The 21288-nt window shown below is 35.8% G+C and overlaps 1 long non-coding RNA gene across 1 annotated transcript in view; it reads right to left on the reverse strand.

The window, feature by feature from the left end:
• Window positions 1-21288, reverse strand: part of LOC105369844 (uncharacterized) — a 310508-nt gene that overhangs the window by 7885 nt on the left and 281335 nt on the right. Inside the window, exon 13 of the long non-coding RNA XR_007063375.1 lies at window positions 649-702. This is a non-coding gene — a long non-coding RNA (uncharacterized LOC105369844). The remainder of the gene's footprint in view (window positions 1-648; window positions 703-21288) is intronic.

Genomic DNA, 21288 nt, shown 5'->3' on the forward strand with positions numbered 1-21288 from the left:
TATTATGTATTTTAATTAATTTCAATCATTTGTAGGCATACATATATGTGTATGTACATATGTATGTATATATATGCACATGTGTATATATGCCTACAGATGTGTATATATACGCCTACATATATATACATGTATATACACACACGTGTATATATATGTGTGTATATATATATATATATATATACACACATATATATGTACACACACACACATATATATATGTGCCTGCAAATGCAATCCTTCCCTCATAGAGGTTATTTGCCTTTAGATAAAATCTGGGAAAAGTGAAGATCATTACTGCTAGAATTCAATTTGAATATATTTTTACTTAAATACTGACTTTTTAAACTTTGCTTTCTTCTAAGACAAATTTCTTAGTTGGCCAACAATAACTGGCAATGTCTAAGCATCTATGATAACTTATCAAGAGTCACCACTTTGAAAACTTAATAATATTAGTTTTAAAATAATTATGTGGTGGTTGAAGTTTATTAGTGGAAATGAGGCAGGAGGACAGAGGAAAGAAACAGCAAACTTGATGTATTTTATGACCTAAAGGTCTAATGCCAGAAGAGCTAATCTTACAATGCCTGTTCATGAAAAACTCATTGAAAAGTCCCATGATATTAATAAGTTAAATGTCCTTACCTACAATGAATCCCAGTAGAAATTTTACAATAAATTTGTCTTCAGTGAAAGGTACTAGGGTAGAGAAAGGAAAAAAATCACATAAATTAAGAGTTTTTGCCATTTTTTATGTTTGTCACATATTTGTGGACTAAGTAGATGAGGAATTATTGATATAGAATTCAACAAAATTCAATGAGATATAATTTTAATTATAATTATAATTTTAGAGCATAAGATTTATTTGGCAAAATGGGAACATATAGTGGTTGGGATGCACCAGTGTTTAAAAATGAATAATAATAAGATAATATTTTGGTTAGGACAATCAGCTTAACATCAAAAGCCATTTGTTTAGACTGTAATTTAACAGAAAATATAATGCTAATATTCAGTTTATATAATAATCCCTTTAAGTGGTAGAAATTATAGCCTTTAAGAGTCAAACCTCTTCTTTTTTAACTTCTAGGGAGAGCCTTATCTGCTCTCAAAAGGTCTTAAATAACCATCTGATCTTTCTAAATCTATATCAGTCCTAATTCTAGGGTGTCTCGTCCTTCAGCGAACATAAAAGTTTATAAATAGATTTAGAAATAGCAACAACAAGTGATTCCTCCTTCTAAAATGCATTGTTACCTTGGATAACAAATAACTGAAAGATTTCCAACTACTTGCATTCCTTTCTGACCAGGCAATCTGAGGGCATGCTCTAGCCCCCAGCCATCCAAATAGCAACTCTATTTGGAATAAAATTAGATAGAAAATTATCACTGTAACCTTGCAAACACTGAGACTACCCCACAGAAGTAAGCTGATAAAAACATAAGATAAACAGCAGATCCTAAAGATATGCCAAAAATTTAAAAAAGTGTTTTTATCGTTGAACTCCAGCTGGATATAGGGTACAAGGTGGAGAATATGAAAACTGGTTACACATTCCATACCACTCTAAACAGCTCAATGAAGATTCCTTGGGATTTATTATGACAGATACTGTTACACTTTCTTTAGCTCTCAACTTAAAAGCATATGTTTGGTTCAATCCCCACCCAGAATTACTGGGTTTATATCACTGTCAGGTAACCAATGTCTTCCCAGATAGTGGAATATGTTACTGAAAATATCTTTATTTGCCTTCACTCACAGATTCACACACAGCGGGGGCTTAAATGATCCTTAGTCCTGGGAAAGTGGGTGATGAGGGGGTCAGGAACGGCGCAGGTAGAAAAATGTTCTCTTAGTGGAATGTAGTATTGGCTGTTCACCCAATTTCTGCAGATGACCTAAATAACAATTGCCTTAGAGATGCTGGTAATTTGAAATAAAAATTACAACCTCTATCCGATGTTGGCTAGCATCTCTTGAACCATCTAGTCTTTTATTTATTCCATAAAAATATATCAAGTGCCTTCTCTGTTCCCCAAAGTGTACTGGGCCCTACAAATACTGCATTTAATGAGACAGATGTTGTTCCTAACCTGCATATGAACTTGCAGTGTAGACGTGAAGGGAGACACTAAACTACAGTAAACTAAAAAGCAGCGCTAAACACATGTTTGCGGTCAAGTATTACATATGGGACGCACATAGTGCTATGGAAACCTGTTATAGGAATGTCCTTACTTCTTCCAACTGGTAGAAAAGGACACCAAAGTGATCCTCATCTGGGTATCCCAGTGCAAATGACTTAATTTCCTGGGCTTTGGTTTCCTTGGATAAAAGTAAGAGGAATTGGAATAAATGATTTCTAAAGTCCCTTTCAGTGATAAGGTGCTGGAATCCTTTTCAAATCTTCCCAATCCCAAAAGCATATTCCAATGGCATATTCTCTGCAAGAATAATTTGAGGACTTGTTAATGACTAAGTGCAGACAATGGTTATGTCTTTGACCATCCCTAGAGTGCCAGCAGTGAAGCTTAATTTTAGAAACCTGGGATGCTCACTGACCTCTACTGGAAATACACTACGAAGAAAGTCCTTGTGGAATCCTGTAGGGTCTTACCATCTGTTTCACAAATGCCCCTTTTCTGTGTGCGTACCAAGCTGGGTAGGGGTACTATTCACTTCTGATTCATAGTGAGCTGTCACGTGCCCTAAAAGTGCTGTCTCAGAAGGTTGTATCCTCTCATTTTTCTCCCTTAAGTAATCAAGTAGATAAACAAAACCCCCAAATTATTCTTGTTAGCCTTTCATCACCAAAATAAGGGGAAGAGTCACATAAACAGAGAAATAGAAACCTGCTTATGTTTTCCATGGTTTCTGAAGTAAAGATGCAAATGACTTCTGTAGTAGATGCTGTAGTATGGCTCTTTCAATACCTTTTCCAACCCTTCTCTTGTTTTCCTCTATTATTGATGCCAGAAAATGGAAATGCTTAACTCTCAGTCTCTTTCAGGTCGTGGTAGCTCAATTCTGGCCTATAAGATGTAGAGGAAGTCCCTAGAAACCAAAAAGGCTTCCTATTGCTTCGCTTTTCTCATTCTTCCTGTTTGGAACAGGCATGTGATGGCTGGAAATACAGCAACAATAATGAAACTGTGAGGATGAAAGTCATGGTGAAGTTGATGGAACAGAAATAAAATGAACTTGGTTCTTTCATGACATATTAGAAAAGCCGCCTCAGCCTTGAACAATCTTCATTAAACCTGATATTTAAATGTTTACTGGGTTTTTGTTTGTCACAATGAATGTAATTCTAACTGATCAACTTCTAATAATAATAATACTGATTGTATACAGAAAGCTCATATATAGAAACTTCAGGGTGGCCTTGGTGCAGTTGGAAGTAGCCTAAAATTAATCAGAATATCTTCATACTGGTTTAGGTTGTATAAAATCATCCTTGTTATTTCACAGTATTTTATCTTCTAGGTATAAGATTTTGATCAATAACTATTAGAATATTCAAACTAAATGGAAAAGCTGCCAGTCCCTACATTTACTGACAAGAAGACTAAAATACTTTTAATTTTGAGAAGCTCAGTGTTGTGACCACTCTGAATTCAATGGTGAGGTGATGTTCCCCATTCAGAGGGATAGAGTCTAAGGCTAAAATATTTGTTTTTAAAAATGCAAGGTTGTCTCAAGCTACATATCATGGGGCATATTAAACAAAAGTTCCCACTCTGCAGAAAACATCCCTCAGATATTTAAACGTTTTGGGAATGTGAGGGGTTGTGACTTATTACACAAAAAGTTTTGAAAATATCACCACTCTAGGCTCTAGAGTCAGCCTACCTGGCTAAAAACCTTTGTAAACCCTTACTGGCAGTACAATTTTAACAAGTTATGGAACTTCAGTAATGTTCAGTTTCCTCATTTGTAAAAAGGAGTTATAACAACAATTACCTCCTAAAACTGCATCTACTGGATAATAGTTACATTTCCAGTAAATGCTATCAATTACAATTATTGTGGCAGAAGCTTTACCTTAAAGTTTGTTTATGTTTCATTTTTGGTTGCTATTACCTTTCTTTACCTGTGTTTAGGTTATGTGGGTCTTATGGATAAAAAGTCATCAGCAGTGTTTTTTAATAGATGATATGTAAGCCCACTAGAGTCCTTGGAGTCCTCGAAGCACCTTGAAGGCAAGAAACATTTTTGCCCAGTGTCCAGCACAGTGTTTGGCACATAGTAGGTGCTTAACAAACATTTGTTAAATAAACAAGTAAGTGACTGCTATGAAAGGAGATAAAGAAAATCCCTTGGGCAACTCATTACTTTACATTTATAAGGGGCCAATATAAATAATAAAATAAATAAAAGCTATATTTAGAGCATAAAGTACCCAATGTCTCTGTATACTAACTTCTGAACTCCTAGAACTTGTTTTTATCTACAGTGTTACTAGCATTTTGAAAAGATCTCAAATGCCTGGGCTTTCTTTGTTATTTATTAGTTTTGTTTGTTCTGTTCAAGTAGTATAGCAATTGTGTGGGAATTAAATTGAAACCGTATGAACGATGTGTTAAAATCTAACATGTTCAAACAGGGGAAAGCAGAACCAGACAAGAAACAAATTTCAAGTCTCAAGAAGCCAATTTTGTATTTCTGCAGACCCCACATATAGAATATAGGCACTGTATTAATAATACATTAATGCTTTTGTCTTCTAAAGAGTGATTTGCTCAACAATAGGCCTTCCTCGGCAGTTTTATGCTGTAGTTGACTGGCATGTATTGTCCTTAAACACAAAAATATAACTATAAATAAAAATGTAAACTGATCAGAGAAGGGAACTCAACATATGCCCCTGATTTCCCTTAGGCATGCTTGGGGATACCCACACTCTTGCAAAGAGAGACAATAAAACAATGATTTCAGGTGCTGTCACTACAGAACAGGTAGAATCAAGAAATTCCTGAAGACACTGAACTGCAATTTTCTAAACTTCAGGTTAGATGAAAAGTTGATGTCTGCTACCTTGTTGATATTTGACACATTCTTGGGTACTATATCTGTTATGAATTCCATTAGTTTTGTTTGGTTACAAATAACAAAACAAGCTAAAAAAGCTGCAGCTTAAAATACCTAGAAGATTATTTTCTTTCATGTAAAGTAGTCCAGAGATAAACAGTCCTAGATTGGTATAAACATATCAAATATTCTTAAATGTTTTCTCCAACTCATGCATTTTAACTAGAAATTTGGCAGACTTGAGCGATTCCATGTGATGGTGTTGCTATGTTTTGATTAAAATGAACTCTTACCTAATTCCAAAATGTATATTTCCCCTTAAATAACAAAGCATTGTCACAATTTATTATTTTTTTTTTTTGAGATGGAGTTTTGCTCTTGTTCCCCAGGCTAGAGTGCAATGGCACAATCTCAGCTCACCACAACCTCCGCTTCCCAGGTTCAAGTGATTCTCCTGTCTCAGCATCCTGAGTAGCTGGGATTACAGGCATGTGCCACCATGCCTGGCTAATTCTGTATTTTTAGTAAAGACGAGGTTTCCCCATGTTGGTCAGGCTGGTCTCAAACTCCCAACCTCAGGTGATCCGCCCACCTCGGCCTCCCCAAGTGCTGGGCTTACGGGCCTGAGCCACCGTGCCTGGCCTAGAATATTTTTAAAAAGCAATATAGAATGCTACATTGATTTAGGGACAAACATAACAGAAACATAAATATATTTAAAAAACAGTTTAAAAATGTGTTCATACATGCATGTGTGTGTGTGCATGACACGCGCGCATCCCAGGCTCACTAAATTGGAATTGACAAAGACTTTTAAATATGTAAGCCTGTTAGAGTAAGTAGTTAGACAGACATGAGCAGGGCAGAAGAGGGTCCCCCCACCACCCAGGAATGCCAGGTGACCATCAGGTGATGGTCAGGTAGTTGTTAAACTGTCTCTCTAAAGTAATAATTGGTCACACCTGGTGCCAGGGAAAGGCAGTCTCCCAAAGATAAAAAACACCCGAAGTTGGTGGTGAGCAGCTTCCTAATAAGATCTGAGGAGTTGGGCAAGTGGGTTCAAGCATGCACACTAAGAGGCAAAATGGCAGAGTTTAACTCATGTATAAACTTTCTCTAGGAACACGCGACTGATAAGGAAAAAAATGCCTCAAGAGAGCATGCGTACAACTTCAGTAAACACACTGTGCATGCAGCCCCTCCAAAATGCTGGCTGGCACATGTGGAATGCCAACATATAAAACCCCAAGTCAAAGGTAAAACTGGGCAGTTGAATCTCTCACGTTGCCCGCTTGACCCCCCTCCAAGTGTACTTTACTTCCTTTCGTTCCTGCCCTAAAACTTTTTAATAAACTTTCACTCCTGCTTTAAAACTTGCCTCAGTCTCTCCCTCTGCCTTATGCCCCTTGGTTGAATTATTTCTTCTGAGAGGGCAAGAAGTGAGGTTGTTGCAGACCTGTATGGATTCACTGCTGCCAACAATCCCATAATTTCTTTGTTAGAGTATCCAAATAGTATCCATGCAGGAGATATATTTTCCCACAAACATTTGTGAAAGGGAAATAAAAACTCAGGACCCCAATTCACTATGCCAAAAGGAAAAAATTAAACTGAAAGTAGAGTCATACAAGAAGCTGCCTTTCCTTTTGTTCCTAAGCAAATAGCTACAGATAAACCGTTATGTTCACCTTATCTTATGTAATGTGCTGCCAGATGAATACATAATTGACTATTCCCCTACCTGCTCCTATTTTCTTGCAACACATGGGTTACCGTACCCACCCTTCTTTCCCTCCAGCCCACTTTTTCCCCTTTAAATACTGAAGCCTTCAAATTCATCTTTGGAGAAAGGCACAGACCACACATTATTTCTGTGATTCCATGTTTTCTTCTTCCAGGTATGTCCTTAACCTTGGCAAAGTAAACTTCTAAATTGATTGAGACCTGTCTCAGATGCTTTTTGGTTTACATATTGTAGGTCTACAATGTGCAAATTACCTGCATATTGTCTGAGACATAGTTCTTGCCCAAAAGGAGCCCCAAATCCATAAATATAGAACTCCAAAGACACATGCTATATTACGGGTGGTAGGTACTATTACAAAAGTAAACCTGAGAAGAGAGGAGGGAGTGAGGAAAACCAGGGTGGCTTGGAACTTTCTTTGCCAGGTGGTGTGAGAGAGACAAGGGCTGCACAGAAGGGGATCTGCAGGGCCTGAGAGTCTTGTACTACATGGCAGAGAACCATTTCAGCCCCATCAGCACCCTTGAGGCAGTTCTGCCACCCCCATAAACAGAAGCTCCTAAACCTGGCTTAGGCGAGTGAATAGGAAAAGCCATCAGTGCTTAGCAGGCAGGCTCTTTAACATGCATTCATGTTGCTGGTCTGAATGTCAAACAAGGGACAGCAAGGTGTGACCCAGAGAGACAAAAATCACTGCACTGCCCCTGTTTAGGTCCTCTTCTGCATTCTCATTAAAACGAAAAATGTAAACTGAAATCTATCCAAGCATAAATTTCACTCAGTCATCCACAGCCCTGGGCTTTATGCCGAATTTGCTGATATCAATAAATTATATCTGTATCCTTCAACATTTTCAGTAATTCAATTTATTAGGAGACCAGATTTATCCACCTCCAGTTTTCAGTTCTATCCAGTTCATGTTTGGTACCCAAATCATTTCAGAGAGAGCACTACGTGAAGATGCAGGTGTATGCAAGGGCTGAAAACACAATTTGTTTCATCCTTCTAGGGATCAAAGTTATTTGCCAAGTATAGCGTTAACATTTGGGTGTCCAGCTTAAGGCATAAGACTTTTCTTAAGAATAATTTTTTCATTGCTTCTCTAAAAAAAAAAATCCAATATAATGTTGACTAGAAGATATTGTGCAATGTTTTTACATATCCTCCAATTAATCAAATATATACACATGTGTATATTTATTTTAAATTGAATGCCTATTTAGATTTTGTTTAGTTATGAAATATTTTAAGCATATGGAAAGCTACAGAAACAAAAGTCATTTAGTACCCAGTATCTACAATAACGTTTTGTCATTTTTTTTTCAGAGTTCCTAACCTTTCAGGCCCAATTACTATCACTATCTTGAGGGTGGAGAGTGTCTCTCCCATGCATACTTTTATACTTTTATTACATATGCATGCCTCACAATATCATACAGTATTGTTTTATGTTGATTTTAATTGATAAACATGGTATACTGAACATATTTTGCCACATGCTTTCTACTCTATTATTGAGATTTGTACATCATAGTACACACAGCTCTCATTCATTTTAACTTCTAACATGATATAAATATACTTTTATTTTGTATTGTTTACAGATACTTTTAATTATTGTTTTTGCTACTGTAATGAAACCAATGAACTTTTCTGTACATGTATTCTGCAATGTGTAATAATTTATCTGGAAAATACACTTAGAAATTAAGCAACTGGATCTTAGTTGAATATTCATCTTTCATAAATATTGCCAATTTTTGCTGTAAATAAATATTCTCTTTTCTCCACGTCCTCACCAACATTCAGTTTTTAGCCTTCAAATTGTATCAGTCTGATAATCACAGAATGGTATCATATTGTATTGCAAACAACTCCATCTAGTATGTAGTTTTTCTTTTTATTTTGTATGGTTTTCTTTGATGAATAGACATTAAAAATTTTCATAACTCCAATTTGTAAATATCTTTTTTATGATTTGATGTTTATGTATCTTGTTCAAATTTTTTCCTCTTCACAAACTATGATCATAAAATATTCTCATTTTTCCTAAGGCTATCAAGAATTTATTTTTACATATTTTTACATTTTGTCCCTTCAAATCGATTTTTGTGCATAGTGTAAAGTGGGAATCAAACTGTATTATTTCCAAATAAAAAAACCAATTGTCTCAGGACTATTGATTAAATTGTCCTTCCCTATGGTCTTGCAATGCTTCCTCAGTCATAGATTAAGCTTCCATATATGGGCTTTCTAGTCTGTTTCACTGGTTTACTTACTTATTCCCATACTAACACTATGCTTTTTAAAAATAATACATACTGAAATCTAGTACTGAGATTTTCTACATCTTGTCTTTTTTAAAAATTGCATAAGAAATTCTTGCTCCTTTGCTTTTTAATTAAATGTTTAAAATCAGTTCTGAAGTTACACACATACATACATGTCTTTGGGATGTTGGGATTGAGATTTGGTGTTGGGATTTGACTGTGTGATCACAGTGAATTTAACATTAATTTGGCAAGAATTGACATGATACCGAGTTTTTCTATCCATAAACATGATGTCGTCTTTCTGCTTATTTAAGCCTTCTTAAATGTCTTTCCATTATGTTTCATATACTTCTGCCCATTTTTATTAATAGATGTATTCCTAGGCCCCTAACAACTTTGTTCTTATATTAAATGATGTCTTGTACAATTACATTTTCTGCTATGGTAGACAATTAGGAATGTAATTGTTTGACTTTTATATATCAATATTATATGTAGCAAGCATTCAGGACATTCATTAATTCTATTAATTTGTCTACAGATTTTCATGAGATTTTTACGTAATTACAGAGTCTCTGTATCATGATAGTTTTTTCTTTCTTTCAAGTCCTTAAGCTTTTATTACTTTTTCTTGTCATACTGCCCCAAACACTCAATATAATGTTGACTAGAAATATCAAACATTGTTTTTAAATATCCACAAATTAATAAAATAAAACACATACATACATACATATTTGTTTATTTTTATGTCAGAGCCTATTTAGTCCTAATTACATGTTATACATTTCTTTGCTCACTACTGCCACTCTCTCTATGGATCCAGTTCCTTTCCTCCTGAAATATATCTGTTTTTTTTAATTCTTACCTAAAGAAATTTCTTTGTGTATAGAATTCTAGGTTCACATCTTTTTCAGCATGTTATGGATACTATTCACTTGTCTTCCTGCCTTTATTGTTGCTGATTACAACATGGCTATTGATCTAATAATTCTTTCTCTGTAGGTAATCTTTGATTTTTCATCTTGCTGCTTTTAAAATGTTCTCTTTGTCTTTAACATTTCGTAGTTTTACCACAATGTGTCTATATGTGTATTCTGTTTTCCTTATTCTACTTAGCACCTGTGTGTTTTCAGTCTGTAACCTCATGTATTTTCATTAGTACTAAAAATCTTCACCTGTTGTCTCCTTATATATTATCTCTTCCCCACTCTTTCTTTTCTCTCTTTGAAATTCTCATTAGAGTTTTATCTTATTCTGTACCCCAATTCTCTTAACCACTTTTTGATATTGTGTTTATGCTTCATTCGAAGCCATTTCCTTAGAGGTTTCTTTTAATTCACTATTTCCCTTTTTAGCTGTTTCATTTCTATACATTTTATTTGATTCTTTTTCGTATTTATCTGTTCTATTTTCAGTATCCTATTCTTCTTGGTTTCTAGTTCTTTTATCTCTTAAATACATTAAACGTATTTATTTTATAGTCTTTTTCAGATTGTTCTATTAGCCAAGCTCTTATACAATATTAATCCTCCAAATGGTTATCTCCACTAACTTTACCTAATAAATGTTCTTTGTGTAGTCAGTAACGTTTTTAAAATTGTGAGCTAATTTTTAGTTGAAGATTATTTTTCTAGTGTGGGATTCCCAAGCATCCTATTTTTTGAACTATTGGTACAAAGCATTTTTATATTTGCTTCTGCTGGTTACCTCAAGGTACTTATTGTTTAACAATGTCTAGAATCACACTGTTGGTTATTTCTCAATTAAGGAATTCTACACAAAACTAGTAATATAACTTCCATATCTGTATATAGATTTGCCAGTGGGATTTTTTTTCACTCAGCTTTAGACCAAGATAAGCTTTCTAGTGACTCATCTTGTAGCCTTAACAATGTTCCATATGTCTGTATGGGCATCTCAGTTACAGTATTTTAGTTCACAACCAAAAACCAAATTTGCTGTCCTAACATGGGTATTACCCAATCCTAACTGCCAATGAAGGATCCAACGAGATATCAGCTTACAAGGCTGTTACACTGGCTGTAAAGTTTTTTTTTTCTGATGATGATTTAAGATTTCCCTTTTAATTTTTTATTTAATCAGCTATTTATATGTGAGGGGTAGGTGTGGGGAGGGGTGTACACACACACAGGCTTGTCTATTTATTAGGTTATATTGTATATAGCATTTCCATCTATTTGTGATAAGAGGGGTTCCATACTAGGTTGGTCCACATGATTGACAGAACTAAGAGGTTTGATTAATTCATGAATACAGAAAAACTTAGATTACATGGGACATTCCTTTCTATGAAGCTTTTTGTATTTCTCCTATAGTGCCCAGTCAACTTATATAATCAAACAGATTTTCAGCCATGTGCTTATTACTGGCTGTATCCAGATTCTTGGATTCATCTCTAGTTTCTGGTTTCTCAACTAGGAAAAGCTGAAATAAAGCTTATTCATAAAGAAATGTGTTTTAAAGATTATTTAAATTGTAACAATAAATATATTGATGACACATCATAATAGCTATTCATCTTATGAAGATATCCAAAGCATAAGTCTTAGGTCACTGGAGGGAAATTAATTAAATCAATAAGGAGTAATTCCAACATGTCATTATTTTACAGGAGAATAAATGATTTTGGCTGAATATCATTTTTAAATAAAATATAAAATCTTCTCTCACTTTCATTAACAAAGTGTCCATCTCGTTAAAATAAAACTAATGAGTGCTTTTAAAAATTCTCATTTCCACAATTAATACAGTTAAGACCCCCAAGAATACTGATCTAATTTTGTTATTCAAAATTCTTTCTTTTTATATTATGAATCATTTCATTGTCCACATGCCAGTTACCACAGGAAACAAGAATAGTCCTTGATCAAAGAATCGCACAATCATAAAAGATATAAACATGTAAATAGAGTATTATATCTTGATATATGTTTGAGCTACGTTTCCAAAGGATGATGTGTGACAAACTACCACAATTCAGTACGATTCAGCCTTAGCTACGAAGTAGGGAGTGGAAGAAGAAATAGTGTGAGGCCAGGGCCTTATATTCCGTGCTAACAATTTCAAACTTTATTTGGAAGATGATTGAAAGCCATTGAACAGTTTTAAGCAAGGAAGTGACTATACAGTCATATTTCCTTTTAGGTAGATGATAAATTTGAAGGGCTGAATCTAGGGATAGGGATACCAGTTAGGAAGCTGTTTTAATATTCTAAGGAAGAATCAGTACAGATAATGGGTTGTCACAATAGAAATGGAGGTATAGGAAACAGAACTGAGAAATATTTAGGAAGTAAATCATTAGGGCTTAGAGACTCAAGAGATTTAGCAAAGAATATGAAGGGAAAAAAAGAAGTTACAGGTGACTCCAAGACTTCTGGCTTCAGTGATGTAGTGGATAGTGGTGCCATTAACTGAGATGAGGAAGACAGAAAAAGAAGCAGACATGAGGAAATTTATAAGTTTTTAAGTGCCTTCGGGAACAAGATATACAAGCACAGTGCTTAGGTGAGCAGGCAGGGCTACAGAATGAGATTTTTTTGCATCATTAACATATAGATCACGGTTAACTAAACTCTAGATAGCATCCATGTTTGAGAAGCAAATGGGTGATGAGATTAAAGTGGACTGTCAAGAGTGGGAGGAGAGTCCTATAAGCCAAAAGGGCAGATTTTCAGTATGAAAATATATGAAGTTGTGTGTGTGTGTGTGTTTTATTGCTAATGGTGGTCCCATTTAGATACTTCTAAGGTAATTCTATTCACTGTCTTCACTCTTTTTTTTTTTTTTTTTTTTTTTTTTTTGAGACGGAGTCTCGCTCTGTTACCCAGGCTGGAGTGCAATGGCACGATCTTGGCTCACTGCAACCTCCGCCTCCTGGGTTCAAGTGATTCTCCTGCCTCAACCTCCTGAGTAGCTGGGATTACAGGCATGTGCCACAACGCCCGGCTAATTTTTGTATTTTTAGTAGAGATGGGGTTTCACATGTTGGTCAGGCTGGTCTCAAACTCCTGACCTCGTGATCCGCCCGCCTCAGCCTCCCAAAGTGCTGGGATTACAGGCGTGAGCCACCGCACCTGGTCTTGTCTTCACTCTTTATAAGAATTCACCATCCTTAGCAGAAACTTTTATATGAAAATGCAAGTATTAAAAGTAAACAAAACTGAAATTCCAAAACATACCAGTTAAGGGAGTAGGTGGGGAGCTAAAGAGTGCATCAAGGATGACTTTGATGCAATATTTCTGGTGTTTCTTAAGAGAGCATATTCTTCAAGATACTAGCAACCTTGTCCATGAATGCAAAACACCACTGAGTAAATATAATTCTAGACAAGAATGAGAGTTTCACAGCTCATTTTTCTATCGGCCAGCAGGGTGCTGCCACTGTTGTTAATAGTCATTGTTAATGGAAGAACTAAAAAGCTCTTTTTGAAGAGAGAGACATCCCTTTATGCCAAAGTAACTGACTAAAAATCTATGCTATTAAGCAAATTAAAAACCAGGGGACAAATTTTAATTAAAAATATTTATAGCAAGTGGAATAACAGCTGCCAGTTTCTCTCACCACTCATGAATGTGTTTTGCAGCTGGCTATAATTCTCTCTTGTTTCAATCAGCTTAACCAATAATAACAGCTGTTCACTAGACAGGGGACATTTTATTAGCACCCATTTGATATGTAGTCACTGCTTAAGAAATCTTTAATATGAGTGATTTTTAAGAGAATCACACCGTGACTTGATGGATCATTGTCTAAAGAACTTTTCTGTTTCTCTAAATGAGTAAAAAATTCCTTTGACCTCTAAAGCATGTCCATCTTCCATAAGGCTCAAACAAGTCTATGAATTTCTTAGTCTAGTCATATAAATGTCTAAGAACATTTTAGACCACATTAAGCAAAACTAGGGAAAAAAACATAACAGGAAAGGGAATTGGGAGGAGGTAAGAGTGTATACAAGGATGACTGATGCAGAATTTTTAAGAGAGCATGTTCCTCAAGATACTAGCAATCTTGTTCTTGAATGCAAAACACCACTCAGTCAGGGCCTAATCACAGCTTTTGTTTGTTCATTTGGTTTGTTGTTTACTAAGTTCTCAATGTTTGTCTAGAAAGACATTGTGTTCTAGTTCATGAAAAACAGAAAAGTCAGACAAGGAGTCAATGAAATGAACTGAAGTTGCTTAAACGAATGACACACAAGATGACAAAACATTTAGTAAATCTACGACATATGTTAAGAGAGGAAACTGATGACTGATTTGAGGGGGATTCACAGTAGACTCTGCAGCTCAGAGCTTACTGAATAAAGGCAACATTGCCCGTTATATACTCAGGTGGAGTAAAACAGATCTGATTAGCATAGCTTAATAATGGAAGGAAAAAAATGTTTTCTTAAGAAAAAATATAAGATAGCTTATTAGAGCAAATCTTAACAGAATTCATAATCTTGCTACTAGAGGAGACAGCAAGAAAAAGTGCAATTGAAACTTCATTCTTATACACAGATCCAAGGTACCATATATGGGACATGCTCATGATTTTCAATGTTTTCAGGATTCCTTTGGAATATGCCTTTCTAAAGATATTCCCAGCTTCCACATATTAGAAACTTATCTGGAATTAAACTAGATACCAGAGGTCAACTGGACCCCTAGTTTTATTCCCTAAATGTTGTATGTATTAAACTTTTTACTGGAAGCATTTATTGAGTCATTTAAAAAAAAGATGACATTAAAAAGAAGTAATTTTTGGCTGGGCATGGTGGTTCATACCTGTAATCTCAGCACTTTGGGAGGCCAAGGTGGGTGGATCGCCTGAGCTCAGGAGTTCGAGACCAGTCTGGGCAACATGGTGAAACCCCGTCTCTACTAAAAATACAACAAAAAATTAGTCAGGAGTGGTGGCACAGGCTTGTTGTCCAGCTACTCGGAAGGCTGAGGTGGGAGGATCACCTGAGCCTGGGCAGTAGAGGTTGCAGTGAGCCAAGATCATACCACTGTACTCCAATCCTTCATATTTAAGTATGATGCTGTTGAGCAATCATTTTTAAAACAACATGAAACAGACTGAAATTGTACATGAGGATTAGAGAGAGCCAACCAGAAGCAGGAGACTGGATACTGGACCTGGAGACCTGAGTTTGAAGCACAAATTTCTTATGGCTGCCCATAGCAGCCCAAGTTTTGAAATACTTAATTGCAAAAATCAGATTAAATTTATAGTCAAAGGTCTGTCTCTTTACCAGACTTTTTTGAGGCAAGAAGGAAAGAAATGGCATTTTTTTTTTTTTTTTTTTTGAGACAGAGTTTCACTCTTGTTACCCAGGCTGGAGTGCAATGGCGCGATCTCAGCTCACTGCAACCTCCGCTTCCCGTGTTCAAGCAATTTTCCTGCCTCAGCCTCCCGAGTAGCTGGGATTACAGGCATGTGCCACCACACCTGGATAATTTTGTATTTTTAGTAGAGACTAAAAATACAGCCTGTTGGTCAGGCTGGTCTCGAATTCCTGACCTCACGTGATCTGCCCATCTCAACCTCCCAAGTGCTGGGATTATAGGCATGAGCCACGGCTCCCAGTCCATTTTTATATTTACATTAAAATGAAAAAACTCTACACAACTTTAAGGGCTTTTCATGCTCTGATTTTCTTCTAAAACTTTGAGTGCCTCCATCTGAGTTGCTGCACTAAATTTACGTGGAAGGCATAAAAATAGACAGGAAGCCAAATTTACATTTTCTATGGGCCAGAAAACTTCATTTTAAAATAGAAGAGAATTGTCAGGAGATAGGAATGAAGTCAGAGAAATCATAAAGGAGAGAAGCATCTGACGTGTGTGTGTGTGTATGTGTGTGTGTATGTGTGTTTTAAGGTGAAGGTAGAAAGACAAAATTAAAGGGAATTAGACAGAGTGAGAATTTGTAACAATGGGATGCTTTTATTACAATATTTCACTTTTATGCTTCGAACAACTGACTTATTTGAAGCAATTTGAGTTTATCTATTTTAGTGCAAAGCAAAAAAATACAAATATGGGGACTTCGAAATGGCAGCTTAACAAGCAGAAATGATAGCAAAATCCTTCATTCTTTCTGCTTTTCACTGAACATCCCCATTGAGGTTACTTACTGGCTGCTGTGTAATCCTCATGTTTGTAAAAGGATATGCTTATGATTTTCTAGTCAGATCAGAATAGAATAATCAATGTCTGCAAAGCACAAGTGGTTATCCCTGCTCTAATTCCATAAGCACCAGGTATTATCAATTAAAGATGTTCCTCTCAATCTGCTATGAAAAAAATTTACATGTTGGAAGCTGGTTGAATTTTGATTTATACCAAATTTACAGTTTTTTACATTTTCTTTCACAACCTGCTTTTCATGCTTGGATAAATTTTTATGAACATGATTTGCATCTTGATTCTTGAAGTTATGAACAAATCATAGGACATGAATAAAAAGGGATATGGTAAGGCTATATACATCTTCTGTTATGACGCTAAAGTTGTATGACATGTTACCGTTGCATGTCTCTTTACCAGTTTATTTTCTTTTAAACCACCTTGGATCTACATGACTGTGTTTACTTTTAATTCTACTGCATTTATTCTTTACATGCATTTAGAAAACGCAGCCATACTTTTATTAAAAGAGTACTCATAGCAGTTCTGTAAAAATTAATGACTCAAAGAGAAAGAAATAAGAAATAAGTGATTAGTTAGAAAGAAAGTTGCAAAGCATTCCTTTGTTTTCCTTACTTACTTCTAACTCATCTTTGTGGTACTCTCTGGATTGGTGGGGAGGGGTGGGTTGTAAAGATAAAGGATATCAAGGAGCCTAAACTGAAAAGAACCTGTGGAACCGGAAAGGTAAGTCAGCTAGAAAGGAAGAGAATAGATGTAATCAAATATAACTTGATGAATGTTAATTAGCTCTCTTACTTATAACCCAGTACTCTAATTTATTACAAAGCACTGAGTAGAAAAAAACCTGACATTTCCATTTTTCCCCTGTTTACTAGAGATACATTCTCTTACTCATTCAAACTAAAATTCAGACAAGCCTCAACTTCAGAAGTTTCTGAGTAAATTAGATATATTCAGTTGTTTATAAAGAAAGCCTATTGAATATATATAAAATTGCAAACTAGCTTATCAATCTTGGTCTCAGATTTGTTCTTTATGAATCTTTATATAAGCAAAAAGAATCTTTTACTCTCTGGTAGGAAACATATCTTGCTTCATGCACTTTTATGACACATTTGGAACCTTAGGTTATTTTTATTTGGTGATTGGCCAGAGGTTCAATTATCAACTTTGTTTCAAATATAACTTATTTAATTGTATGTTTCTTTTATCTTTTTTAATATTGGCAGTATTTAACAACCAGATCTCAATTAAAAAAAAAAAGTAAAACAATTGCCTTCACAAGGCAGCACGAAGTGAGTTCAGCACATCCCAGGGAGACCAGGAAAAAGAAAACAGGCATAAAAAGCCATGAGAATATTTAGACAAGGCAAACACAAAAACTCCTATGCTATGTGAGTCATGTATATAGTGGACCAATTTTATGTTCATTAATATTTATTGAGAACTTATTAATGTCAGGAAGCTCTTTGTGGAATTTCTTATGTGTTCTTCACAATAATCTTATGAAGTTGAATCACTATTAGCCCTTTTTAATAGATGAAGAAACAGGCATAGAGAAGGAAAACAATTTTTCCAGTGAGGGGGCAAGGAATAATTCCAGTTTTATTTGACTCAAGAGCCCATGCTCTCAACAAAGGTATATATCAACTCCCTTCATGCCCTGACGAGAGACTTCACATACCCTCAAAGTCACTCACAGCCCTGACTTAAAAGAGCAGTGGATTTGCTCCTCCAACAAGAAGGTCTAAATTAGCAAACATCATGTGGAATAAGTAAATTACAAAGATTGAAACAAGCATCTTCACTTTGACCCTCTTCCATCTAAATTCTAAGAAAGCATGTACATACTCCTCAGATGACTACATCGTTCACTTTCATGTACTTATTTTCATCTGCACTTTCCAATTTCTGAAGAAATAAACACAATTTAGTAAGATTAAATGCTTTTTTTTTTTTTCATTTCCTAGGTTTCCAACAATTGTTCTGGGAAGAATGGGCTCAGTTCTCCCTCTGCTTGTCAGAATGATTAATTAGATTTAATTTCATGCTGTCTCCTCTGCTGTCTTTTCCCTCTCTCCAATGACTAATAACTCTTCTACAAAGTCCAAACAAATGGCCTCCGTATCTAGTTTTTATTTTTGGAAGTTTTCCCCAGCCAAAATGCATAGAACCTCTTCACAGACAGCAGCTTAGAAATTCCTGGCTAGGATTCCTGCCCTTAACAGTCGCACTTGATACGGCTAGATGGCCCGTTGACTGATATCTGGGGTGGCATCATGCCAGCTCAAAAGTTGTCAAGCCATTTGAATCAAGAATCAGCACTAGGCAGTGAAAAATACGGATGGGCAGCCTGCGAAGCAACTCTGTGAGGGGCCATATCTTCTCCAGGAAGTACCCTTGTGCCAGCACTAAAGCATTAACACCACGTGTCTTTTTCTACACTTGACATCTGTGGACACTTAGAGTGTGTGACAAAAGGAGGAAGAGAAGGAGGATAGAAAAGACAAGAGAGTTTATAGGTGTGGCTAGCAAACCATAGAGAGGGATTCTGGTGGGGGCCCAGGAGTCCATTAGGAACCCTGCCTTACTGACTATTTATCATGTTATGTGAGAATAACAGGTGCCTCATTTCAAGGCCAGGGCTTAAGCACAATTGAAGGAAGAGGCTGGGAATGAGCAAGTCAAATCTCTGTTTCTAGCCATGCCACAGACCTTTAAAAAGGGGAAAAGAGTCCATTACTCATTATACCACGTGACCACCAGATGAAACCTTAGGGTGGGAAACAGCCCCTTTCCAAGACACAGACACAAAGAAATCAATTTAAACATGTCATAAACCCAGATCACTGGCATCCTGAGTAGGTGAGAAGACACAGCTGTTTGGACAGTCCCAGACATCCAGATGAATTTGACATAGCTTTAATAAATTCATCAGTAAAATGAAGATATCTGGTAGTCTAAATATGTGTGTAAGCATGGAAGGACTTCAGATTCAGGCTTTGTGGGGCTGAAACACTGCCTTGTGGCTAATTTAAGGCTCACAAAGTTTAACAACTGGCCAAGTGTCATTTTTCAGATAATCCTCAATTTCCTCAACTGTAAACTGAGAATAAAACTAAAACATACCTCACAGTGTTGTGATTAGGCTCAAATGAGATGATTTCTACAGAGCACTTATTAAATGGTAAAGTCCATACAAATGTATCATTGAGCATTTTAGAGTAGCTCACTCCTTTGTAAACATGACTTATGATACTAATCTCTATCACTGATAATTTTTCAAAATCATATACAAAACACAGCTTATGAATCATGACTCTAGTATTGGTACTACAATTGTTTTTAAACTGGTAATGTTTCAAAAGTAGTCATCTTGGGATACCATGTCTTCAATTTTTTTTTTTTTTTTTTAAACAAGATCTCACTCTGTTGCCCAGGCTGGAGTGCAGTGGTGCAATCATGGCTCACTGTAGCCTTGACATCCTGAAATCAGGTAATCTTCCCACCTGAGCCTCCCAAGTAGCTAAAACTACAGTCTCACACCACCGTGCCTGGGTAATTTTTATTTTGGGTAGAAATAAGGTCTCCCTATGTTGTCCAGGCTGGTCTCAAACTGCTGGGCTCAAGTAATCCTCTTGCTTCGGCCTCCCAAAGTGTTGGGATTACAGGCATGAACCACCACGCCCCATTGAGATACCATGTCTTCAGACTAACAAGGAAGTCATTTCACTTCTTAAAAGTCATCCTGTTGAGTTACCTTTGGAATCTATATACAAACTGAGGAAAAAAATCAATGCTCACTTATGACCCAAAATAGCATCCACCCTATTTACCTGACAATACTTTGTATGCCTTTTGGCTCAGATCCAAAAATCAAGTTTATACTCAAAGGAAGATAATTTATATTATGCTTCATGGTTACAATGTCACATAACCTTACCATTTGTATCTACTTGCAATTCTTTAGACTAGGCTGGTTAGGTTCAACCAAGCCTGGCTTATAAAGAACCTGAGGGAGAGAGAGAGAAAGAAAGAGAAAGAGAACGAGTCTATACACTCTGATGCAAACTCTGATTTTTCTGTCTCCAAGGGGATTTCTTATCCCAGAGAGGAATTTTCCCCGTTCCTTGGGTTGTTCTCCTAATCTATCAAATCCTCAAATCATTAAGTCAGTTCTAAAGTGTGGTTGCAAAAAATGCTTTGAACAATGGTAACACCGTTGGCATGTGAATATAGTCTCCCAGAAAAGCCATATTCAAATTTCTGACATTTTCACAAGTGTAAGTTCTGATATATTCATTTAAAAGTCTGTTCGAATTTGTATCTTAAAACAACCTTGTGTGTTATTTCTAAATCTCTTATTTTCAAAAGAAACAGGCTCAGAAGGTTTAGGGACTATAAATATTCATTGACATTGGTTCAATTGCCAAATCAGTATTACAGTAAGTCAGTATCAAATCATGAAGAAATACACAATGAACTCAGAAGCATGGTGGAAAAAAAAAAAAGCCCCTATGTGTATGGCGTTATCAATGTAAGGTTATTTTCGCATTTTGGACATATTTTTCAAACTCAGAAATTCATTCCATATTGATTCTGTTTTTTCATAACATGCCAAAATGAAATTCTAAAAACTCAATGTTACCTCTTCAGAGAAGCCTTTATTCTCTCTGTCCCTCCAGACTATAAATGGTTTCTTTCTGTGTTCCACCAACACTTGGCTTATGACTTTTTTTTAACATTGCCACATTACTTTCTAGTTGTTTATTTGTATCAATCTCCAATTTATACACTATGAGTTCCTTGAGGGCAGGGGCCCCTTCTGGTTCCTCTTTTCTAGCCCATAGCATGGTGCCCAGTACATAATAATATGTTCAACAAATGTTTGATGATTGAATATATGCAGAAAATTTAAATTATGAGACAGTGTAAATAAATAAAAAGGAAAAGGAGTTTACAACATATAAACACACAGCCAGCCCAATCAAATGATTATCTATCTATCGTCTTCTCTTTATCTCTCAGAAAAGTGTCAGGCATTTTGATTCAGAAATTCTA

The sequence above is a fragment of the Homo sapiens genome, chromosome 12 (assembly GCF_000001405.40).
Source record: "Homo sapiens chromosome 12, GRCh38.p14 Primary Assembly".
Taxonomy (NCBI): domain Eukaryota; kingdom Metazoa; phylum Chordata; class Mammalia; order Primates; family Hominidae; genus Homo; species Homo sapiens.